The sequence below is a fragment of the Homo sapiens genome, chromosome Y (genome assembly GCF_000001405.40).
Source record: "Homo sapiens chromosome Y, GRCh38.p14 Primary Assembly".
NCBI classification, from domain to species: domain Eukaryota; kingdom Metazoa; phylum Chordata; class Mammalia; order Primates; family Hominidae; genus Homo; species Homo sapiens.
Window position 1 is genome coordinate 11980918 of NC_000024.10, and position 26615 is coordinate 12007532.

Genomic DNA, 26615 nt, shown 5'->3' on the forward strand with positions numbered 1-26615 from the left:
TGCAATGACATTTTGTATCTCTAAACTTGGATCTACAACGAATGCTTAACTTCCTCTTAACAAATACTTAACTTCCTCCTCTCTTGTCCCATTCAAAAAAAAAAAAAAAGGAAAAAAATAAATCAAGAAACTGTTGTTTTAATGATTATATGTTTAACTATAATGTTAGGGCAAACAATTCAGCTTGCTTCTATTTCCATTGTAGATTTCAACAATATACATAGATGTGTTAGGCTTTATTTTAATATGGCATTATTGGTACAATCAAAGTGTACACATTGTTTTAAAAGCATCATTACCACACCAACATAGTGCACTTGAAATGATACAAATGTACTTGGGCTATGAAGAAAGCCACCTTCTAATCAAGTACCATCAGTTCCCAGATATACAGGTTTATGGCAGTGCTTTTCAACCAAGGGTGATTTTGCCCCAGGACAACCCTTGGCAACATCCGAAGACACCTTTGATTATCACAAATGGGGCGGTGGGTGCTTCTGGTATCTGGTGGGTGGAGCCCAGGGACAGTGCTCAACACCTTGCAGTGCACAGGATGGCCCATCACAGATAGTCATCCATCCTACCTTCAATGTCCATAGTGCCGAGGTCAAGTTACTCTGTCTTAGCAGGAAAGATTCTATCTATCTATCTGTCTATCTATCTATCTATCTATCTATCTATCTATCTATCTATCTAATCTATAATCTATCCATCCTTCTACCTATTTCATCTATCTTCTATCTATCTATCTATCTATCTATCTATCTATCTATCATCTCTCTGTCTATCCATCCATTATCTATGGCAGTCGTTTGCAACCAGGCATCAGGTGTTCCTTAGTCCCTAGGGGACACTTGGTGATGTATGGAGACATTTTTGGTCATCATGACTCTGGGGTGGAGGGTGTGCTTCTGGTATCTGGTTGCTGCAGCCCTGGGATCCTGCTCAACATCCTACAGTGCACAAGACACCCCACCACAGATTAGCATTCATCTTGCCTTAAATGTTAATACTGCTGAGGTCAAGTAACCCTGTCTTAGCATGTAAGATTTTGTCTGTCCATTTAGCTATCTATTTATCCATTCATTCATTCCTGTATACCTAACCTATCATCCATCCTTATCTCTTGTGTATCTATTCATTCAATCATACACCCATATCTGTCTGTCTGTCTATCTATCTATCTATCTATCTATCTATCTATCTATCTATCTATCTGCCTATCTGCCTGCCTACCTATCCCTCTATGGCAATTGCTTGCAACCAGGGAGATTTTATTCCCAGGAGATATTTGGCTATGTCTGACAACAATTTTTTTGGTTGTCACAAATGGGATGAATGTTACTGGCATCTGGTGGGTGGAGCCCAGAGATGCTGCTCAACACCCTACAGTGCACAAGACAGACCCACCACAAAGAATCCTCCATACAGCCTTAAATGTCCCTAGTACTGAAGCCAAGAAACCCTATCTTAGTATGAAAATGTTGGTCTATCTGTCTATATACCTGCTTATCTATCCATCCATTTCTATCTACCTAACCTATCCATCCATCCATTCTAATGTCTTATGTATCCATCTATTCATCCATCCACCCATCTCTCCATCCATTTATCCATCCATCCATCGATATGTATGTATGTATGTATGTATGTATCTTTCTATCTATCTATCTATCTAGTCTGTCTACTGATCTAGCTAGCTAGCTAGCTATGGTAGTTGTTTGCAACCAAGGAGATTTTACTCCCAGGAGACATTTGGCTGTGTCTGGAAACATTTTTTGGTTGTCACAGATGGGATGGATACTGCTGGCATCTGGTGGATGGAGTCCAGGGACATTGCTCAACACCCTACAGTTCATAGGTTGGCCCCATCACAGAGAATCATCTAGGCTCAAATGTCACTAGTGCCAAGGTTGAGAAACCCTGAGCTAGATTCAAAAAAGGGCTAATATCTCTTTAATAAGTGTGTCAAAAAATAGAGGACACTGACAGTAGAGTAAAGGTAAAATGGAGTCCAACTCAGTTCACGCTGCTATGGTGGAGAATCCCTGGATTGTGCTGTCTTCGGCATTCAGCAGCTCAAGCAGGAAAGCCTCTCACCATGGTGAGAGCAAAATCAGTGTCCAAGGGTTTCTTCTGCACATTTGTATCTGCCCTTCTAGGACTCTTTGCAGTTCAGGAAAAGGGCTGAGATGCCTTTCCCCTGCCTGTATTTTATACTTTAGATGGCTGGGTGGTGCTCTGAAGAGCTTGCACAATCAGTCCAGAAGAATCATGTACCAAATATACCCAGGAATGCCTTCCAGCTTAGCAGATGTGCTGCCACTAAGAAAACTGTTTTCCATTGAATTTGGCATGGTGGAGGCAATTTTGAATGGATAACAGTACAAGAATGCAGTTCCACTAGGATTTTTGAGTCATTCTATTAATATCTCCATATAAATCCTAAATAAATTATAAACTGTTATTTATGTTACTTTATTCTTTGTAAATTCTGACTATATTCTTAGTAAAGTGTAATTGAACAAATCATGTGCATTTTGTCAGAGCAGGCTCTTCCCTGCCTACATGTTGGGATTATTTAAAAATAAAAATATAGGGCCTTGTGTGATGCCTGACACCTGTAATCCCAGCACTTTGGGAGGCCAATGTGGGTGGATTGCTTGAGGTCAGGAGTTCAAGACCAGCCTGACCAACATGGTGAAACCCTGTCTCTACTCAAAATACAAAAATTAGCAGGGCATAGTGCACATGCCTGTAGTCCCAGCTACTTGGAAGCCTGAGGCAGGAGAATTGCTTGAACCCAGAAGGTAGAGGTTTCAGTGAGCCAAGATCAGGCCACTGCACTGCAGCCTGGGTGACAAAGTGAGACTCCATCTCAAAAAACAAAAAGAAAAACAAGTATCAGAGCTTTGTTTCTTGAAGTCAAATCCCTCACAATGCATAGACATCTGTGGCTTTCAGATTTGCTCAGTTGATTTATTCTGATGAAAACTGGATTAGGGGTCACTGTTACGGAAGCCATAGAACGTTTACATACACATGCTACCATAATCATTTTTGGATTCAAACTCCAAGACACATTAAAATGTGCTTGCCTGCCCCACAGCTATTAAATTCCTTACTGAGTTACATTGACTTCATTCTCACTCATAACCCACAAAACAGTATATTTTGTCATTGTTAATTGTTGCTTTTATTACAATGATTAGGTTGAATGTAAGCACAAGCAGGCTCATTTTTGTTAAGATCTATGACATTGTCTTAGACATGTCATTAGAAAAATGGAATGTTGCCACATGTGGTGGCACATGCCTGTATTCCCAGCACTTTGGGAGATGAGCAGAAGGATCACTTAAGTCCAGGAGTTCAAAACCAGCCCAGACAACATAGCAAAATCCTGTCTCTACAAAAAAACAAAAACAAAAAAGCAAAAAACAAACAAACAAACAAACAAACAAACAAAAAAACACCTCCAGCCAGGCATAGGCATATTGGTATATGGTTATAGTCCAAACTACTCAGGAGGCTGAGATAATAGGGTCCCTTGAGTCCAGGAGATCAAGACTACAGTTAGCTATGATTGCACCACTGCACTCCACCCTGGATGACAAAGCAAGATCCCAATTCTTCAGAAAAAAAAGAAAGTGTGGCATTTAGGAAATATTAAGGCTCCCATTACAATGTATGTGTCATGGAGGATTCAACAGGGACAATTTTAAAAGTGAGAACTTTCTCAATCTTTTCACTGGATTATCCAACATGCTAGTTCTGAATAACTAAAGGATACTTCAGTATTTATGAAACTGTTACATATATAATGAAGATTTTCCTATCATCCTTTCTAGGTTGCCTCTATTAAACTGTTTGTAATTATTAACTCAGCAGTGCTTAGACTTCATGGGGAAGAATGGTACACCAGCCTTGGGGTCTTAGCTAGTGAGTGTTATTCAGCTTTAATTACAAATTCTAGAAAACCCGTTACACCAATATTGCCAACTTCTGAAGAGCCCAATTTTAGCCTTGGAACTCTGGGCATAACCATAATTACATGACCTTAGAGTTGCTTTTTCTGACTCTTGCCCAAAACTGGGATACAACAGCTTAAAAAAAAAATTGCCAAAAGTAGAAACAGTGTCTAAAGCATTTTCTCCAGGAAGAAATTAACATCTTTATTAGGCTGACTCAGATTCATCACCATCTCCATGACTGCAGCATTTTATCTGATTTTGTTTTTACATTGACCTCTGCAATGACTACCATGCAAATACTTGATCCAGACACACTTGCAGGAATAGGACTGACATCTTTGACTACATTTCATGTCCTTGAACCCATGGTCAGGCCAACCTAACATCAGATTTAACAGGGAGTTGTTATTTGCAGTCAATCACTTTCCACAATCTTCTCCAGGCTGTAAAAACCATTGGGCATTTTGCAATAGCAGCCACGTGGGCTGATGCATCACAGAAATACCTATTTTTTGTGTTATTCCAGTGACATAACGCCATGGTAGAGTATTTGGGAAACTGACATCTTAATTGTTTTTCTTTTTTTCTGTAGTTTTGATAGTAGAATCAAGGTGTTTGCCAACAGGACCCTGGTGGTGAAATCAATGACAGACAAAGACGCCGGAGATTACCTGTGTGTAGCTCGAAATAAGGTTGGTGATGACTGCGTGGTGCTCAAGGTGGATGTGATGATGAAACCGGCCAAGATTGAACACAAGGAGGAGAACGACCACAAAGTCTTCTACAGGGGTGACCTGAAAGTGGACTGTGTGGCCACTGGACTTCCCAATCCCGAGATCTCCTGGAGCCTCCTGGATGGGAGTCTGGTGAACTCCTTCATGCAGTCAGATGACAGTGGTGGACGCACCAAGCACTATGTGGTCTTCAACAATGGGACACTCTACTTCAGTGAAGTGGGGATGAGGGAGGAAGGAGACTACACCTGCTTTGCTGAAAATCAGGTTGGGAAGGATGAGATGAGAGTCAGAGTCAAGATGGTGACACCTGCCACCATCTGGAACAAGACTTACTTGGCAGTTCAGGTACCCTATGGAGATGTGGTCACTGTAACCTGTGAGGCCAAAGGAGAACCCATGCCCAAGGTGACTTGGTTGTCCCCAGCCAACAGGGTGATCCCCACCTCCTCTGAGAAGTATCAGATATACCAATATGGCACTCTCCTTATTCAGAAAGCCCAGTGCTCTGACAGCGGCAACTACACCTGCCTGGTCAGGAACAGTGCCGGAGAGGATAGGAAGACAGTGTGGATTCACGTCAACCTCCAGCCACCCAAGATCAATGGTAACCCCAACCCCATCACCACCGTGTGGGAGATAGCAGCCGGGGGCAGTCGGAAACTGATTGACTGCAAAGCTGAAGGCATCCCCACCCCGAGGGTGTTATGGGCTTTTCCCGAGGGTGTGGTTCTGCCAGATCCATACTATGGAAACCGGATCACTGTCCATGGCAACGGTTCCCTGGACATCAGGAGTTTGAGGAAGAGCGACTCCGTCCAGCTGGTATGCATGGCACGCAACGAGGGAGGGGAGGCGAGGTTGATCGTGCAGCTCACTGTCCTGGAGCCCATGGAGAAACCCATCTTCCACGACCCGATCAGCGAGAAGATCACGGCCATGGCGGGCCACACCATCAGCCTCAACTGCTCTGCCGCGGGGACCCTGACACCCAGCCTGGTGTGGGTCCTTCCCAATGGCACCGATCTGCAGAGTGGACAGCAGCTGCAGCGCTTCTACCACAAGGCTGACGGCATGCTACACATTAGCGGTCTCTCCTCGGTGGACGCCGGGGCCTACCGCTGCGTGGCCCGCAATGCCGCGGGCCACACGGAGAGGCTGGTCTCCCTGAAGGTGGGACTGAAGCCAGAAGCAAACAAGCAGTATCATAACCTGGTCAGCATCATCAATGGTGAGACCCTGAAGCTCCCCTGCACCCCTCCTGCAGCTGGGCAGGGACATTTCTCCTGGACACTCCCCAATGGCATGCATCTGGAGGGCCCCCAAACCCTGGGACGCGTTTCTCTTCTGGACAATGGCACCCTCACGGTTCGTGAGGCCTCGGTGTTTGACAGGGGTACCTATGTATGCAGGATGGAGACGGCGTACGGCCCTTCGGTCACCAGCATCCCCGTGATTGTGATCGCCTATCCTCCCCGGATCACCAGCGAGCCTACCCCAGTCATCTACACCCGTCCCGGGAACACCGTGAAACTGAACTGCATGGCTATGGGGATTCCCAAAGGTGACATCACGTGGGAGTTACCGGATAAGTTGCATCTGAAGGCAGGGGTTCAGGCTCGTCTGTATGGAAACAGATTTCTTCACCCCCAGGGATCACTGACCATCCAGCAGGCCAGACGGAGAGACGCTGGCTTCTACAAGTGCACGGCAAAAAACATTCTCAGCAGTGACTCCAAAACAACTTATATCCATGTCTTCTGAAATGTGGATTCCAGAATGATTGCTCAGGAACTGACAACAAAGCGGGGTTTGTAAGGGAAGCCAGGCTGGGGAATCAGAGCTCTTAAATAATGTGTCACAGTGCATGGTGGCCCCCGGTGGGATTCAAGTTGAGGTTGATCTTGATCTACAATTGTTGGGAAAAGGAAGCAATACAGACATGAGTAAAAGGGCTCAGCCTCACTGAGAACTTTCTTTTGTGTTTACATCATGCCAGGGGCTTCATTCAGGGTGTCTGTGCTCTGACTGTAATTTTTATTTTTTTGCAAATGTCATTCGACTGCCTGCGTAAGTGTCCATAGGATATCTGAGGAACATTCACCGAAAATAAGCCATAGACATGAACAACACCTCACTCCCCCATTGAAGATGCATCGTCTAGTTAACCTGCTGCAGTTTTTACATGATAGACTTTGTTCCAGATTGACAAGTCATCTTTCAGTTATTTCCTCTATCACTTCAAAACTCCAGCTTGCCCAATAAGGATTTAGAACTAGAGTGATTGTTATATATATAAATTATATATATATAAATTAAATTTATATATATATAATTTATATATAATATATATATTTTAATTCAGAGTTACATACATACAGCTACCATTTTATATGAAAAAAACATTTCTTCCTGGAACCCACTTTTTATGTAATTTTTTTATATAAATATTTTTCCTTTCAAATCAGATGATGAGACTAGAAGGAGAAATACTTTCTGTCTCATTAAAATTAATAAATGATTGGTCTTTACAAGACTTGGATACATTACAGCAGACATGGAAATAGAATTTTAAACAATTCCTCTCCAACCTCCTTCAAATTCAGTCGCTACTGTTATGTTACTTTCTCCAGCAACCCTGCACTGGGGAAGGCTGTGATATTAGATTTCCTTGTATGCAAAGTTTTTGTTGAAAGCTGTGCTCAGCGGAGGTGAGAGGAGAGGAGGAGAAAACTGCATCATATCTTTCCAGAATTGAATCTAGAGTCTTCCCTGGAAAGCCCAGAAACTTCTCTGCAGTATCTGACTTGTCCATCTGGTCTAAGGTGGCTGCTTCTTCCGCAACCATGAGTTAGTCTGTGTCCATGAATAATACAAGATCTGTTATTTCCATGACTGCTTTACTGTAATTTTAGGGTCAATATACTGTACATTTGATAATAAAATATATTCTCCCAAAAACCTGGCAGTGATGACAATGCTATTTTCTTTTTTTTTTTTTTAATTATACTTTAAGTTCTAGGGTACATGTGCACAATGTGCAGGTTAGTTACATATGTATACATGTGCCATGCTGGTGCGCTGCACCCACTAACTCGTCATCTAGCATTAGGTATATCTCCCAATGCTATCCCTCCCCCCTACCCCCACCCCAAAACAGTCCCCAGAGTGTGATATTCCCCTTCCTGTGTCCATGTGATCTCATTGTTCAATTCCCACCTATGAGTGAAAATATACGGTGTTTGGTTTCTCTTTCTTGCGATAGTTTACTGAGAATGATGATTTCCAATTTCATCCATATCCCTACAAAGGACATGAACTCATCATTTTTTATGGCTGCATAGTATTCCATGGTGTATATGTGCCACATTTTCTTAATCCAGTCTATCATTGTTGGACATTTTGGTTGGTTCCAAGTCTTTGCTATTGTGAATAATGCCACAATAAACATACGTGTGCATGTGTCTTTATAGCAGCATGATTTATAGTCCTTTGGGTATATACCCAGTAAGGGGATGGCTGGGTCAAATGGTATTTCCAGTTCTAGATCCCTGAGGAATCGCCACACTGACTTCCACAGTGGTTGAACTAGTTGACAGTCCCACCAACAGTGTAAAAGTGTTCCTATTTCTCCACATCCTCTCCAGCACCTGTTGTTTCCTGACTTTTTAATGATTGCCATTGTAACTGGTGTGAGATGGTATCTCATTGTGGTTTTGATTTGCATTTCTCTGATGGCCAGTGATGATGGACATTTTTTCATGTGTTTTTTGGCTGCATAAATGTCTTCTTTTGAGAAGTGTCTGTTGATGTCCTTCACCCACTTTTTGATGGGGTTGTTTGTTTTTTTCTTGTAAATTTGTTTGAGTTCATTGTAGATTCTGGATATTAGCCCTTTGTCAGATGAGTAGGTTGTGAAAGTTTTCTCCCATGTTGTAGGTTGCCTGTTCACTCTGACGGTAGATTCTTTTGCTGTGCAGAAGCTCTTTAGTTTAATTAGATCCAATTTGTCAATTTTGTCCTTTGTTGCCATTGCTTTTGGTGTTTTAGACATGAAGTCCTTGCCCATGCCTATGTCCTGAATGGTAACGCCTAGGTTTTCTTCTAGGGTTTTGATGGTTTTAGGTCTAATGTTTAAGTCTTTAATCCATCTTGAATTGATTTTTGTATAAGGTGTAAGGAAGAGATCCAGTTTCAGCTTTCTACATATGGCTAGCCAGTTTTCCCAGCACCATTTATTAAATAGGGAATCCTTTCCCCACTGCTTGTTTTTCTCAGGTTTGCCAAAGATCAGATAGTTGTAGATATGCGACATTATTTCTGAGTTCTCTGTTCTGTTCCATTGATCTATATCTCTGTTTTGGTACCAGTACCATGCTGTTTTGGTTACTGTAGCCTTGTATTATAGTTTGAAGTCAGGTAGTGTGATGCCTCCAGCTTTGTTCTTTTGGCTTAGGATTGATTTGGCGATGTGGGCTCTTTTTTGGTTCCATATGAACTTTAAAGCAGTTTTTTCCAATTCTGTGAGGAAAGTAATTGGTAGCTTGATGGGGATGGCATTGAATCTGTAAATTACCTTTGGCAGTATGGCCATTTTCACGATATTGATTCTTCCTACCCATTAGCATGGAGTGTTCTTCCATTTGTTTGTATCCTCTTTTATTTCCTTGAGCAGTGGTTTGTAGTTCTCCTTGAAGAGGTCCTTCACATACCTTGTAAGTTGGATTCCTAGGTATTTTATTCTCTTTGAAGCAATTGTGAATGGGAGTTCACTCATGATTTGGCTCTCTGTTTGTCTGTTGTTGGTGTATAAGAATGCTTGTGATTTTTGTACATTGATTTTGTATCCTGAGACTTTGCTGAAGTTGCTTATCAGCTTAAGGAGATTTTGGGCTGAGACAATGGGGTTTTCTAGATATACAGTCATGTCGTCTGCAAACAGGGACAATTTGACTTCCTCTTTTCCTAATTGAATACCCTTTATTTCCTTTTCCTGCCTAATTGCCCTGGCCAGAACTTCCAACACTAGGTTGAATAAGAGTGGTGAGAGAGAGGGCATCCCTGTCTTGTGCCAGTTTTCAAAGGGAATGCTTCCAGTTTTTGCCCATTCAGTATGATATTGGCTGTGGGTTTGTCATAGATAGCTCTTATTATTTTGAAATACGTCCCGTCAATACCTATTTTATTGAGAGTTTTTAGCATGAAGAGTTGTTGAATTTTGTCAAAGGCCTTTTCTGCATCTATTGAGATAAACATGTGGTTTCTGTCTTTGGTTCTGTTTATATGCTGGATTACATTTATTGATTTGTGTAAATTGAACCAGGCTTGCATCCCAGGGATGAAGCCCACTTGATCATGGTGAATAAGCTTATTGATGTGCTGCTGGGTTTGTTTTGCCAGTATTTTATTGAGGATTTTTCCATCAATGCTCATCAAGGATATTGGTCTAAAATTCTCTTTTTTTGTTGTGCTCTGCCTGGCTTTGGTATCAGGATGATGCTGTCCTCATAAAAAGAGTTAGGGAGGATTCCCTCTTTTTCTATTGATTGGAATAGTTTCAGAGGGAATGGTACCAGTTCCTCCTTGTACTTCTGGTGGAATTCGGCTGTGAATCCATCTGGTCCTGGACTCTTTTTGGTTGGTAAACTATTGATTATTGCCACAATTTCAGATCCTGTTATTGGTCTATTCATAGGTTCAACTTTTTCCTGGTTTAGTCTTGGGAGAGTGTATGTGTCCAGGAATTTATCCGTTTCTTCTAGATTTTCTAGTTTATTTGCATAGTGGTGTTTGTAGTATTCTCTGATGGTAGTTTGTATTTCTGTGGGATCGGTGGTGTTATCCCCTTTATCATTTTTTATTGCATCTATTTGATTCTTCTCTCTTTTTTCTTTATTAGTCTTGCTAGCAGTCTATAAGTTTTGTTGATCCTTTCAAAAAACCAGCTCCTGGATTCATTAATTTTTTGAAGGGTTTTTTGTGTCTCTATTTCCTTCAGTTCTGCTCTGATTTTAGTTATTTCTTGCCTTCTGCTAGCTTTTGAATGTGCTCTTGCTTTTCTAGTTCTTTTAATTGTGATGTTAGGGTGTCAAATTTGGATCTTTCCTGCTTTCTCTTATGGGTATTTAGTGCTATAAATTTCCCTCTACACACTGCTTTGAATGTGTCCCAGAGATTCTGGTATGTTGGGTCTTTGTTCTCGTTGGTTTCAAAGAACATCTTTATTTCTGCCTTCATTTCGTTATGTACCCAGTAGTCATTCAGGAGCAGGTTGTTCAGTTTCCATGTAGTTAAGCAGTTTTGAGTGAGATTCTTAATCCTGAGTTCTAGTTTGTATGCACTGTGGTCTGAGAGATAGTTTGTTATAATTTCTGTTCTTTTACATTTGCTGAGGAGAGCTTTACTTCCAAGTATGTGGTCAATTTTGGAATAGGTGCTGTGGTGCTGAAAAAAATGTATATTCTGTTGATTTGGGGTGGAGAGTTCTGTAGATGTCTATTAGGTCCGCTTGGTGCAGAGCCGAGTTCAATTCCTGAGTATCCTTGTTGACTTGCTGTCTCGTTGATCTGTCTAATGTTGACAGTGGGGTGTTAAAGTCTCCCATTATTAATGTGTGGGAGTCTAAGTCTCTTTGTAGGTCACTCAGGACTTGCTTTATGAATCTTGGTGCTCCTGTATTGGGTGCATATATATTTAGGATAGTTAGCTCTTCTTGTTGAATTGATCACTTTACCAATATGTAATGGCCTTCTTTGTCTCTTTTTATCTTTGTTGGTTTAAAGTCTGTATTATGAGAGACTAGGATTGCAACCCCTGCCTTTTTTTGTTTTCCATTTGCTTGGTTGATCTTCCTCCATCCTTTTATTTTGAGCCTGTATGTGTCTCGCACGTGAGATGGGTTTCCTGAATACAGCACACTGATGGGTCTTGATTCTGTATCCAATTTGCCAGTCTGTGTCTTTTAATTGGAGAATTTAGTCCATTTACCTTTAAAGTTAATATTGTTATGTGTGAATTTGATCCTGTCATTATGATGCTAGCTGGTTATTTTGATTGTTAGTTGATGCAGTTTCTTCCTAGTCTTGATGGTCTTTACAATTTGGCATGATTTTGCAGTGGCTGTTACTGGTTGTTCCTTTCCATGTTTAGCGCTTCCTTCAGGAGCTCTTTTAGGGCAGGCCTGATGGTGACAAAATCTCTCAGCATTTGCTTTTCTGTAAAGTATTTTATTTCTCCTTTGCTTATGAAGCTTAGTTTGGCTGGATATGAAATTCTGGGTTGAAAATTCTTTTCTTTAAGAATGTTGAATATTGGCCCCCACTCTCTTCTGGCTTGTAGGGTTTCTGCCGAGAGATCCGCTTGAATCTGAACATTGGCCTTCCTTGCTAGATTGGGGAAGTTCTCCTGGATAATATCCTGCAGAGTGTTTTCCAACATGGTTCCATTCTCCCCATCACTTTCAGGTACACCAATCAGGCGTAGATTTGGTCTTTTCACATAGTCCCATATTTCTTGGAGGCTTTGCTCATTTCTTTTTATTCTTTTTTCTCTAAACTTCCCTTCTCACTTCATTTCATTCATTTCACCTTCCAGTACTGATGCCCTTTCTTGCTGTTGATCACATCGGCTCCTGAGGCTTCTGCATTCTTTACGTAGTTCTTGAGCCTTGGTTTTCAGCTCCATCAGCTCCTTTAAGCACTTCTCTGTATTGGTTATTCTAGTTATACATTCTTCTAAAGTTTTTTCAAAGTTTTCAACTTCTTTGCCTTTGGTTTGAATGTCCTCCCATAGCTCAGAATAATTTGATTGTCTGAAGCCTTCTTCTCTCAGCTCGTCAAAGTCATTCTCCGTCCAGTTTTCTTCTGTTGCTGGTGAGGAACTGCATTCCTTTGGAGGAGGAGAGGCTCTCTGCTTTTTAGAGTTTCCAGTTTTTCTGTTCTGTTTTTTCGCCATCTTTGTGGTTTTATCTACTTTTGGTGTTTGATGATGGTGATGTACAGATGAGTTTTTGGTGTGGATGTTCTTTCTGTTTGTTAGTTTTCCTTCTAACAGACAGGACACTCAGCCGCAGGTCTGTTGGAATACCCGGCTGTGTGAGGTGTCAGTCTGCCCCTGCTGGGTACCTCCCAGTTAGGCTGCTCGGGGGTCAGGTGTCAGGGACCCACTTGAAGAGGCAGTCTGCCCCTTCTCAGATCTCCAGCTGCGTGTTGGGAGAACCACTGCTCTCTTCAAAGCTGTCAGACAGGGACATTTAAGTCTGCAAAGGTTACTGCTGTCTTTTTGTTTGTCTGTGCCCTGCCCCCAGAGGTGGAGCCTACAGAGGCATGCAGGCCTCCTTGAGCTGTGGTGGGCTCCACCCAGTTCAAGCTTCCTGGCTGCTTTGTTTACCTAAGCAAGCCTGGGCAATGGCGGGCGCCCCTCCCCCAGCCTCGCTGCCACCTTGCAGTTTGATCTCAGACTGCTGTGCTAGCAATCAGCGAGACTCTGTGGGTGTAGGACCCTCCGAGCCAGGTGCGGGATATAATCTCGTGGTGCACCGTTTTTTTAAGCCCATTGGAAAAACGCAGTATTCAGGTGGGAGTGACCCAATTTTCCACGTGCCATCTGTCACCCCTTCCTTTGACTCGGAAAGGAACTCCCTGACCCCTTGCGCTTCCCAAGTGAGGCAATGCCTTGCCCTGCTTTGGCTGCCACACAGTGCACGCATCCACTGACCTGCGCCCACTGTCTGGCACTCCCCAATGAGATGAACCCAGTACCTCAGATGGAAATGCAGAAATCACCGTCTTCTGCGTCGCTCACACTGGGAGCTGTAGACCGGAGCTGTTGCTATTCGGCCATCTTCAACAATGCTATTTTCAAGGACAAAAGAGGGTCACATTAATTTGGGTTTCCATCAGAGTGGTTGAAAAAACTGCTTTCATCACCTTCTCTCAATGATTAGCTTCTCTACACATTTTTAACAGGCAAGGAAACTGAGTCAAAGGCAATGCTTCTGATGACAGATTTGGCAGGCAGGAAGGCAGGATTTGAGTGTCAGTTGCATGTAGTGACAATTTCAGTATTCAGCAAGACAGCTTGGGGACTGAGAAGCAGTGCTCTAGGAAATCATTCAGGATTTTTCTTTTTTATATTGTTTTCAAAGAGACACCTGTATATACATGTATTTGTATTCCACAAATATGCAAAACTGTCCTTCTTTTGCTTCCCCTGAGAGTAAGGAAAAAGGCAAACAAGATAAATATTTGGGAAAAATATTACTGTCAGCATTTCAAGAAATGCAGTGTCACAAATTGTTAAAGAATGTCGGTCATGGAAACTAAAGAATGCTGGTTTATTTTTTTTTAACTCTGTGGAAGGCATAGAGCATGTCTCTCATTCATGAATCCACTTATTTGCTTAAATATGTCTGCACAGCCCTTACTTGTGCTGGATATCAACAGAGCCTGAGGAAGCAGAGAGGAGGAGGAGGAGGTGGTGCTTGGAGTGTTTATGCTCAATAGACTGGTTCTTCAGATGGTGCAGGGTCTCTCAAAATGCCCATGAATGACATTTGGGGATGGATGATTCTCTGGGCTTGGGTGTCCTGTGTAGGGTGTTGAGAAGTATCCCTGGGCTCTACCTGCCACATGCTAGCATCCCCCCACCCCCAAAAAGTTGTGATGACCAAAATGTCTCTGGACATTACCAAATGCCCCTTTAGAGGGTGCAAACTTGCTCCTGAGAGCCACTGATGCGGACAGATTAGATTGGTAAATAGATAACTGATAGATGATTGATATAGATAGATAAGTGATAGATAGATGGTAGACAGGTGATAGATAAATGACTGGCAGATACAAAGAGATAGATGATAGGTTGATAATAGATATAGATAGGGGACAAAGATTGATACAGATAGATGATTGATAGATATAAATAGATAGTAGATACAGATAGGAGTAAGATAGGTAGATAGATAATAGATGGTTGGATGGAGGATAGATAGATAAATGATGGATGGATAAATGATGGATGGTTGGATGGATGATAGATACACAGATAAATAAATGATGGATGGTTGGGTGGATGATAGGTATATAGATAAATAGATGTATGTTTGGATGAATTATAGATAGAAGATAGAGTGACAGATAATGTATGGTTGAATAGATGATCAATAATTGGATAGATACCTATGTAGATAGACTGATGACAGATGGTTGGGTGGATTAGATAGGTAGTTGGGTAGATGATAGATGTATAGATAAATAGAAGATGCATGGTTGGATAGGTGATAGATGAATGGATGGATGATAGATGAGAGATGAGAGATAGAGATGAGAGATAGATAGATAGAGATGAGAGATAGATACATACATACATACATACATACATACATACATACATACACAGACAAATAAATGAGGGTTGACTGGATGGATAATAGATAGAGTTTCTCATGCTAAGGATTTCTCCGCCTCAGCAGTATGGACATCTGGGGCAGGAGGATTCTCTATGGTGGGACTGTCCTGTGCACTGTAGGGTGTTGAGCAGAGTCCCTGGGCTCCACCCACAAGATGCCAGGAGCACGCACCACCCCAGTGGACAACCAAAAATGTCTCTAGATATGGCTACATTCCCTGCATAAGGCTGTACCTTTCCTGATTGCGAAACACTGTGCTAGGTAAATACACGCAGCAGAGGGTTTCAGAAACATGTTCATTTGGACAGTCTTCTTCAGTGCATGATGTGGAAACTGAGATCTGGGGAGGTAAGTTCACCTAGGTGTAGAGAATGTTTCTGCAGGACATACCTTGGTAAAATTTTACCTGGAAAAAAATTGGCAAAAACATCCTATCAACAAAAATTTCTGCATTCACATGAGGTGATGGGCTGAAGAGGTGTTTGGAAACATTAAAAGTGTTTCAGAGAGCATTCAGATTCTAGAAGATTAAAAAACCAAGTGGGATTGTAGTCCCATTTAAAAAGAGCTATATTTTTATGACTTAGATAGCATTTTCACTGAGTCAAGAATAGAAGAATGGCTGGGCAGAATGATATGAACAAATGAGAGGACGTGTTCTCCTGGCCGCAAAAAGATCATGAAGAAAGTGCGACCCTCAAGTAAAGAGACCTGGGGTTTAGTAATAGATATAATGTAATAGTGGTGCAGGCCCGTAGTCACAGCTACTCAGGAGGCTGAGCTAGGAGGATTACTTGAGCCCAGGAGTTTGAGGCTGCAGTTTGCAAAAAAATCATTTCTACCTGCAACCTGTCAGTGCAACCTTATTTGAAAAAAGAGTTTTTGCAGATGTAATCATGTGAAGGACCTGGAAATGAGATTATTCTGGATAAGGATGGGTTCTAAATGCAATAAGTGTGCCTATAAGAGACAAATCAGGGGACACAGACACAGAGGAGGAGGCCATGTGGAGACAGAGGCAGAAAATGGAGTGACATGGCCCAGGGATTCCTGGAGCCCCCAGGATCTGGAAGAGGTAGGAAGGATCCTCCCCTGGAACATCCAGAGGGAACTGCATACAATTGTAGTGCATTGAACAGTGGCCCCCAAAATATATGCCCATATTCTGACTCCCAGATCCTGGGAATGGGACCTTATTTGGAAATAGGGTCTTTGCAGGTGTAATTAAGTTAAAGATCTTGAGACGAGTTCATCCTGGATTAGACGGGCTCTAAATCCAATAATAGGTGTCTGTCCTAAGAGACAAAACAGGAGGAACAGACACAGGAGAAGGCCTTGTGGAGATGGAGGCAGACTGGAGTGATGCAGCCACAAGCCCAGGGACATCTGGAGCCCCCCAGGAGCTGGGAGAGGCAGGAAGGATCCTCCCCTAGAGCCTCCATAGGGAGCATGGCCCTGAGACACTTTGATGTCAGACTTCTGGTCTCCAAAACTGAGAAGGAGTCCATTCTGTTTTTTTTTTTTTCTTTCTGAAGGTAACATATATTTTTATTTCTTTTCTTATTATTATTATACTTTAAGTTTTAGGGTACATGTGCACAATGTGCAGGTTTGTTACATATGTATACATGTGCCATGTTGGTGTGCTGCACCCATTAACTCATCATTTAGCATTAGGTATATCACCTAATGCTATCTCTCCTCTCTCCCCACACTCCAAAACAGTCCCCGATGTGTGATGTTCCCCTTCCGGTGTCCATGTGTTCTCATTATTCAGTTCCCACCTATGAGTGAGAACATGCGGTGTTTGGTTTTTGTCCTTGTGACAGTTTGCTGAGAATGATGGTTTCCAGCTTCATCCAGGTCCCTACAAAGGACACGAACTCATCATTTTTTATGGCTGCATATTATTCCATGGTGTATATGTGCCACATTTTCTTAATCCAGTCTATCATTGTTGGACATTTGGGTTGGTTCCAAGTCTTTGCTATTGTGAATAGTGCCACAATAAACATGCATGTGCATGTGTCTTTATAGCAGCATGATTTATAATCCTTTGGGTATATAACCAATAATGGGATGGCTGGGTTAAATGGTATTTTTAGCTCTAGATCCCAGAGGAATAGCCACACCAACTTCCACAATGGTTGAACTAGTTTACAGTCCCACCAACAGTGTAAAAGTGTTCCTATTTCTCCACATCCTCTCCAGCACCTGTTGTTTCCTGACTTTTTAATGATTGCCATTCTAACTGGTGTGAGATGGTATCTCATTGTGGTTTTATTTCCATTTCTCTGATGGCCAATGATGATGAGCATTTTTTCATGTGTTTTTTCACTGCATAAATGTCTTGAGAAGTGTCTGTTCATATCCTTCTCACTTTTTGATGGGGTTGTTTATTTTTTTTCTTGTAAATTAGTTTGAGTTCATTGTAGATTCTGGATATTAGCCCTTTGTCAGACAAGTAGGTTGCAAAAATGTTCTCCCATTCTATAGGTTGCCTGTTCACTCTGATGGTGGTTTCATTTGCTGAGCAGAAGCTCTTTAGTTTAATCAGATCCCATTTGTCTATTTTGGCTTTTGTTGCCATTGTTTTTGGTGTTTTAGACATGAAGTCCTTGCCCATGCCTATGCCCTGAATGGAAATGCCTAGGTATTCTTCTAGGGTTTTTTATGGTTTTAGGTCTAACATGTAAGTCTTTAATCCATCTTGAATTAATTTTTGTATAAGGTGTAAGGAAGGGATCCAGTTTCAGCTTTCTACATATGGCTAGCCAGTTTTCCCAGCACCATTTCTTAAATAAGGAATCCTTTCCCCATTGCTTGTTTTTCTCAGGTTTGTCAAAGATCAGATGGTTGTAGATACGTGGCATTATTTCTGAGGACTCTGTTCTGTTCCATTGGTCTATATCTCTGTTTTGGTACCAGTACCATGCTGTTTTTGTTACTGTAGACTTGCAGTATAGTTTGAAGTCAGGTAGCGTGGTGCCTCCAGCTTTGTTCTCTTTTGGCTTAGGATTGACTTGGCAATGTGGGCTATTTTTTGGTTCCATATGAACTTTAAAGTAGATTTTTCCAATTCTGTGAAGAAAGTCATTGGTAGCTTGATGGGGATGGAATTGAATCTATAAATTTCCTTAGGCAGTGTGGCCATTTTCATGATATTGATTCTTCCTACCCATGAGCATGGAATGTTCTTCAAGTTGTTTATATCCTCTTTTATTTCATTGAGCAGTGGTTTGTTGTTCTCCTTGAAGAGGTCCTTCACATCCCTTGTAAGTTGGATTCCTAGGTATTTTATTCTCTTTGAAGCAATCGTGTATGGGAGTTCACTCAGGATTTGGCTCTCTGTTTCCCTGTTATTGGTGTGTAAGAATGCTTGTTAGTTTTGCACATTAATTTTGTATCCTGAGACTTTGCTGAAATTGCTTATCAGCTTAAGGAGATTTTGGGCTGAGACAATGGGTTTTTCTAGAAATACAATCATGTCATCTGCAAACAGGGACAATTTGACTTCCTCCTTTCCTAATTGAATGCCCTTTATTTTCTTCTCCTGCCTGATTGCCCTTGCCAGAACTTCCAACATTATGTTGAATAGGAGTGGTGAGAGAGGGCATCCCTGTCTTGTGCCAGTTTTCAAAGGGAATGCTTCCAGTTTTGTGCATTCGGTATGATATTGGCTGTGGGTTTGTCATAGATAGCTCTTATTATTTTGAGATATGTCCCATCAATACCTAATTTATTGGTAGTTTTTAGCATGAAGGTTGTTGAATTTTGTCAGAGGCATTTTCTGCATCTATTGAGATAATCATGTGGTTTTTGTCATTGGTTCTGTTTATATGGTGGATTAAGTTTATTGATTTGCATATGTTGAACTAGTCTTGCATCCCAGGGATGAAGCCAACTTGATTATGGTGGAAAAGCTTTTTGATGTGTTTCTGCATTCGGTTTGCCAGTATTTTATTGAGGATTTTTATATTAATGTTCATCAAGGATATTGGTCTGAAATTCTCTTTCTTTGTAGTGTCTCTGCCGGCTTTGGTATCAGGATGATGCTGGCCTCATTAAATGAGTTAGGGAGGATTCCCTGTTTTTCTATTGATTGCAATAGTTTCAGAAGGAATAGTACCAGCTCCTCCTTGTATCTCTGGTAGAATATGGCTGTGAATCCATCTGGTCCTGGACTTTTTTGGTTGGTAAGCTATTAATCATTCCCTCAATTTCAGAGCCTATTATTGTTCTATTCAGAGATTCAACTTCTTCCTGGTTTAGTCTTGGGAGAGTGTATGTGTCGAGGAATTTATCCATTTCTTCTAGATTTTCTACTTTATTTGCATAGAGGTGTTTATATATTCTCTGATGGTAGTTTATATTTCTGTGGAATCATTGGCGATATCCCCTTTGTCATTTTTTATTGCGTCTATTTGATTCTTCTCTCTTTTCTTCTTTATTAGTCTTGCTAATGGTTTATGAATTTTGTTGATCTTTTCAAAAAGCCAGCTCCTGGATTCACCGAATTTTGAAGGGTTTTTGTGTCTCTATTTCCTTCAGTTCTGCTCTGATCTTAGTTATTTCTTGCCTTCTGCTAGCTTATGAATGTGTTTGCTCTTGTTTCTCTAGTTCTTTTAATTGTGCTGTTTGGGTGTCAATTTTAGATCTTTCCTGCTTTCTCTTGTGGACATTTAGTGCTATAAATTTCCCAGTAGTCATTCAGGAGCAGGTTGTTCAGTTTCCATGTAGTTGAGCGGTTTGGAATGAGTTTCTTAATCCTGAGTTCTAGTTTGATTGCACTGTGGTCTGAGAGACAGTTTGTTATAATTTCTGTTCTTTTGTATTTCCTGAGGAGTGCTTTACTTACAGATATGTGGTCAATTTTGGAATAGGTGTGGTGCTGAAAAGAATGTACATTCTGTTGATTTGGGGTGGAGAGTTCTATAGATGTATATTAGGTCCTCTTGGTGCAGATCTGAGTTCAATTCCTAGATATCTTTCTTAACTTTCTGTCTCGTTGATCTGTCTAATGTTGACAGTGGGGTATTAAAGTCTCCTATTATTGTGTGGGAGTCTAAGTCTCTTCATAGGTCGCTAAAGACTTGTTTTATGAATCTGGGTGCTCCTGTATTGGGTGCATATATATTTAGGATAGTTAGCTCTTCTTGTTGAATTGATCCCTTTATCATTATGTAAAGGCCTTCTTTGTCTCTTTTGATCTTTGTTGGTTTAAAGTCTATTTTATCAGAGACTAGCATTGCAAGCTATGCCTTTTTTTGTTTTCCATTTGCTTGGTAGATCTTCCTCCACTGCTTTATTTTGAGCCTATGTGTGTCTCTGCATGTAAGATGGGTTTCCTGAATACAGCACACTGATGGGTCTTTACTCTTTATTCAAGTTGCCAGTCTGTGTCTTTCAATTGGAGAATTTAGCCCATTTACATTTAAGATTAGTACTGTTATGTGTGAATTTGATCATGTCATTATGATGTTAGCTGGTTATTTTGCTCGATAGTTGAAGCAGTTTCTTCCTAGCCTTGAAGGTCTTTACAATTTGGCATGTTTTTGCAGTGGCATTACCGGGTGTTCATTTCCATGTTCAGTGCTTCCTTCAGGAGCTCTTTTAGGGCAGGCCTGGTTGCAACAAAATCTCTCAGTATTTGCTTGTCTGTAAAGGATTTTATTTCTCCTTCACTTATGAAGCTTAGTTTGGCTGGATATGAAATTCTGGGTTGAAACTTCTTTTCTTTAATGTTGAATATTGGCCCCCACTCTCTTCAGTCTTGTAGAGTTTCTGCTGAGATATCCACTGTTAGTCTGATGGGCATCCCTTTGTGGGTAACCCGACATTCCTCCCTGGCTGCACTTAATATTTTTTCCTTCATTTCAACTTTGTTGAATCTGACAATTATGTGTTTTGGAGTTGCTCTTCTCAGTGAGTATCTTTGTGGCATTCTCTGTATTTCCTGAATTTTAATGTTGGCCTTCCTTGCTTGATTGGGGAAGTTCTCCTGGATAGTATCCTGTAGCATGTTTTCCAACTTGGTTCCATTCTCCCCTCATTTTCAGGTATGCCATTTAGATGTAGATTTGCTCTTTTCACATAGTCCCATATTTCTTGGAGGCTTTGTTCTTGTCTTTTTATTCATTTTTCTCTAAACTTCTCTTCATGCTTCATTTCATTCATTTCATCTTCCATCACTGATGGAAGTTGATTGCATTGGTTACTGAGGCTTGTGCATTCATCACATAGTTCTTGTGCCGTGGTTTTCAGCTCCGTCAGGCCCTTTAAGGACTTCTCTGCATTGGTTATTCTAATTAGCCATTCATGTAATTTTTTTTCAAAGTTTTTAACTTCTTTGCCATGCGTTCAAACTTCCTCCTTTAGCTGGGAGTAGTTTAATCTTCTGAAGTCTTCCTCTCTCAACTTGTCAAAGTCATTCTCCATCCTGCTTTGTTCCATTGCTGGTGAGGAGCTGTGTCCCTTTTGAGGAGGAAAGGCACTCTGATTTTTAGAGTTTCCAGTTTTTTTGCTCTGTTTTTTCCCCATCTTTGTGGTTTTATCTACCTTTGGTCTTTGATGATGGTGACGTACAGATGGGGTTCTGGTGTCAATGTCCTTTCTTTTTGTTAGTTTTCCTTCTAACAGTAAGGACCCTCAGCTGCAGGTCTGTTGGAGTTTACTGGAGGTCCACTCCAGACCTTGTTTGCCTGGGTATCAGCAATGGTGGCTGCAGAACAGTGGATATTGTTGAACCACAAATGCTGCTGCCTGATCGTTCCTCTAGAAGTTTTGTCTTGGAGGAGTACCCGGCCGTGTGAGGTGTCTGTCCACCTCTGCTGGGGGTGCGTCCCAGTTAGGCTACTCAGAGGTCAGGGACCCACTTGAGGAGGCAGTCTGCCTGTTCTCAGATCTCAAGCTGCATGCTGGGAGAACCACTACTCTCTTCAAAGCTGTCAGACAGGGACAATTAAATCTGCAGAGGTTATTGCTGTCCTTTGTTTCTCTGTGCCCTGCCCTCAGAGGTGGAGTCTACAGAGGCAGGCAGGCCTCCTTGAGCTGCAGTGGGCTCCACCCAGTTCGAGCTTCCAGGCTGCTTTGTTTACCTACTCAAACCTGAGCAATAGCAGGTGCCCCTCCCCCAGCCTCGCTGCCACCTTGCAGTTTGATCTCAGACTGCTGTGCTAGCAATGAGTGAGGCTCCGTGGGCATAGGACCCTCCAAGCCAGGTGCGGGATATAATCTCCTGTTGTGCCATTTGATAAGCCCTTTGGAAAAGCACAGTATTAGGGTGGGGGTGACCCAATTTTCCAGGTGCCATCTGTCACCCCTTTCTTTGACTAGGAAAGGGAATTCCCTGACCTCTTGCACTTCCCCAGTGGGCGATGCCTCACCCTCTTTGGCTCACACATGTTGTGCTGCACCCACTGTCCTGCACCCACTGTCTGGCACTCCCTAGTGAGATGAACCCAGTACCTCAGTTGGAAATGCAGAAATCAGCCATCTTCTGCATCGCTCACCCTGGGAGCTGTAGACTGGAGCTGTTCCTATTCGGCCATCTTGGCTCCACCCCCATTTCTGTTGTTTTTAAGCCCCTATTTTGAGGTGATTGGTTACAGAAGCCCTGAGAAATAAATGCAAATATTTAAAATTTTCTTGTAGGGATGGTCATGATGATAGGTACTTAAAACCTCATGACAGGTAAAATAAATGATTTAAACCAGTTTGTCCAGAACACAAAGGTGTGATTTGAGCAGATCATTAATCAGAATCACATATGACTATTATTATTTGTAAATAATATACTAACTACAAGACAGTTGTTTTTTTCCCCCTAAATGGCTAAGTTCTAACATCTGGTATATGTTCTTGTAAATCTGTGGACACAAGCAAAATCCCTAGCTAACCATCCATTGTCACCATTTAATTACTCTCAGGCCCTCACAGAAAAACAAAACTTCAATCAGGCTCTAGTCCTTGAAGTCTGGTTTGTAATTGCAAAGGCTGTTCTTGTTTAAATGAAGCTGGGCTGAATGTGGGACAAGATGAGGAAGACCCCAATCCTGCTGCTGAATTCAGTCTCCAAGACACTGAACCCCACAAGATTGTTTTCTGCACTTTTGTCATTTAAGACCCAAGTCTCACCTGTAATCCCAGAACTTTGGGAGACCAAGGCCTGCAGATTGCTTGAGCCCAGGAGTTCAAGACCAGCCTGCGCAATATAGCAGGATCACATCTCTACAGAAAATACAAAAATTAGCTAGGTGTGGTGGTGCATGACTGTAGTCCCAACTACTCTGTAGACTGAGGTAGGAGGATCACTTAAGCCCAAGACAATGAGGCTACAGTGAGCCGAGATCACACCACTGCACCCCAGCCTGGGTGATAGAGAAAGATTGTCTCCAAAAATAAAAAATGACCCAAGTCTTTTGGAGGTGGAAGTTCAGTAACAGATTAATGATGAAACTAAGAGGGCTAGTGTTAGTGAGATCCTGGATGGCCAGCACAAACTGACTGCTTTGGGAAAAAAAAAAAAAAGTTGGTTTATCTTCTCCTGAGAGGTTGTTCATCTTACTTTTTAGTAGAGTCTTTTTAAAATTAACCTTGTTAGAACACAAGAAACCTGTGTTTCTTGTTGGCTTTATGTTGTCATCTCCTGGATTGATTTAAACATCCTCAACTCCAAGTGTCTTCATTTCCTGGGGCTGCCCTTGCAAGTGACCACAGAACCTATGGCTTAAAACAAAAGGAATTGATTCTCTCACAGTTCTGGAGACCAGCAGTCTGAGGTGAAAGAGTGGACAGAGCTATGCTACCTCTGGAGGTTCTAGGAAAGGATTCTTCCTGCCTCTCCCAGCTCCTGGAGGCTCTAGGCATCTCTGGGCTTGTTGCTGCATCACTTCAGTGTCTGCCTCCATCTCCAGGTGGCTTACTCCTCTCCATCTGTGTCTCCTTTTGTGTCTCTTAGAAACCTGCTGTTTAATCTAGGGCCACACTAATCCAGGATGATCTCATCTTGAGATCCTTGACTTAAGTATACCTGCAAAGCCCTCATTTCCAAATAAGGTTCCATTCACATATTCTGGGGATAGGATGTGGACATATCTTTTTGGGACACTATGGTTCAATCCATTACAATTGTATTCCACTCCTTCTGGAGGCTCTAGAGGAGGATCCTTCCTGTCTCTCTCAGCTCCTGTGGACTCTAAGCATAATTGGGCTTGTATCTGCCTCACTCCAGTTTCTACCTCCATCTCCACATGGCCTTCTCCTCTGTGTCTGTTCTCTTCTGTCTCTTTTCTCTCTCTTTTTTTAATTGGAGACAGAGGTTCACTCTTGTTGCCTAGGCTGGAGTGCAATGTCACGATTTTGGTTCACTGAAACCTCTGCCTCCTGGGTTCAGGCAATTCTCCTTCCTCAGCCTCTTGGTTTTCTGTAAGGACATTTGTCCATAGATTTAGGGCTTATCTAATCCAGGATAATATCATTTTGAGATACTTAAGCCATTTATATCTTATCTAAATAAGTTCACATAAGTTCCAGAGGTTAGGACATAGACACATCTTTGAGGGCCACCATTCCACCTGCTACACAAGGCTCTATTAATATCTCTGACCTACAATTCAGAATCTCTGAGAGAGAAGCCTGGGTGAGTACGAAGTGCAGCAAGAATATGATGAGGAAGTGGCCTCTTTAGTGCTGGAATTCATTTGTTCCTGAAGTAGTTTGGCAAAACTATACTGTGATCCATCACATATTTCTTATGATTTAACCCTCAATGGGGCAACCTATTTTGCTAATTTTTATCATATTGTGTGGTACCTCCCCCCAAGAAGACATTAGAACCTTGTGTGTTGTTGAAATTCTGCATGCTTCTGTTTTCAGATTTGTGGGAAAGAGGAAAATTATAGGATATTTATCTCATAAAGCCATTGTGAAAATAGAATATGAGATTCTTAGAACAAAGCCTGTCACATCACAAGTACTCAGTATATGTTGGTTGTTTCCATACTTATTGCTGTCATTTCTCCAGTAGTTTGAAGAGTGATGGTTTCCAAAGTATGTTCAAGTTAAGCACTACAACCACTCTTGGGAGAGTTGAATTCGGATGAAGCGTTCTTAGATATGACCACTATACTGGTGTGGGATTAGAGCATCGGTGTAGGTTCAGTCCTACACCATCCAACTTCAGCTGAAGCTTATGCATCCTAAGCCATGTAGCAGAACCAGAACTAGAAACCAAAACTAGAACAAACATGTGCGCTGTGCTGTGTTGTGCCTAACCATGGAGCTTTGGGAAAACATGGCCTATCAAACAAGGTTTTGAGTGGATGGGACACTTGGGAAAACATGCACAATTAAACTAGGCTTTGAGTGGATGAGGAGCCTTGGAAAAGCATGGCTGATCAACAAGGCTTTGGGTGGATGAAAAGACTTGGGAAACCATGGCTGATCGAACAAGGCTTTGAGTGGATTATGAGCCTTGGAAAAATATGGTCCATGAAACAAAGCTTTGGGTGGATGGGGAGCTTTGGGAAAACATATTCCATCACACAAGGCTTTGAGTGGATGAAGAGCCTTGGGAAAACATAGCCGACCAAACAAGACTTCAAGTGGATGAGACAAAGGCTTGAATTTATTTCCTGTTCTTTAATAGCTGTGTGAATGTAGATGTCCTCTACTTAAACTTCTGTTTCTTTGTGTATATCAAGTGGGGATGACACCACTCATTTTACCAGGCCATTGGGAAAACCACAGATATATCATAATTCATAGGACAAAACTTGAAAGTTCCATTAAAAAAAGAAGAAAAACACTGAAGCTGTGTCCACTCTCTGGTAGGACAGCATAAATTATCTGAGAGAAAAATGTACCCTTTTTTTGTTTTAGGAAACATTCTATGATGCTTCCTAATTATATAAACAGAAAAAACTTCAAGGACTACATAGTTGGAGTTTTCAGTCAAGGGGAATTACTATATGGTGTTGTCTACAGAAAGAAAGGAAGGGCTGAGGAGCCCAACTAGACAAGTAGGCACCTCAGAGAGTGAGTCACAGACTGATGATGTATCAATTGTGGCTGCAACACTGTGGCCCAAGACTGACACAGGAAATGCACTCACCTTCCATTTCTCCCACTTCTTCTCCAAAGTCCGATACCTGCCCCATTGCTGACTTCAGCAACAAGTCACCTGATAGGAGCTCTGCAGGGGACATTCTCCTTGCCATGCAGAGCTGAGGATATACAGGAAGTAGATCAGGAAAACGGGTGCCAGGAAATCTAGTATAAAAGCCAACAATTACTTACAATGCTTGATTGAAGACATTTGTCTAGTTTCTTTTTTTATCCTTTGGGGCATTTTTTAAAATATATATATATTTTATTATACTTTCAGTTCTAGGGTACATGTGCACAATGTGCAGGTTTGTTACATAAATATACATGTGCTATGTTGGTGTGCTGCACCCATTAACTCGTCATTTACATTGGGTATATCTCCTAATGTTATCCCTC

General features: G+C 41.7%; 1 pseudogene; it reads left to right on the plus strand.

Annotated features, from left to right (window-relative positions):
* Positions 1–7666, plus strand: part of MXRA5Y (matrix remodeling associated 5 Y-linked (pseudogene)) — a 31407-nt pseudogene extending 23741 nt beyond the window's left edge.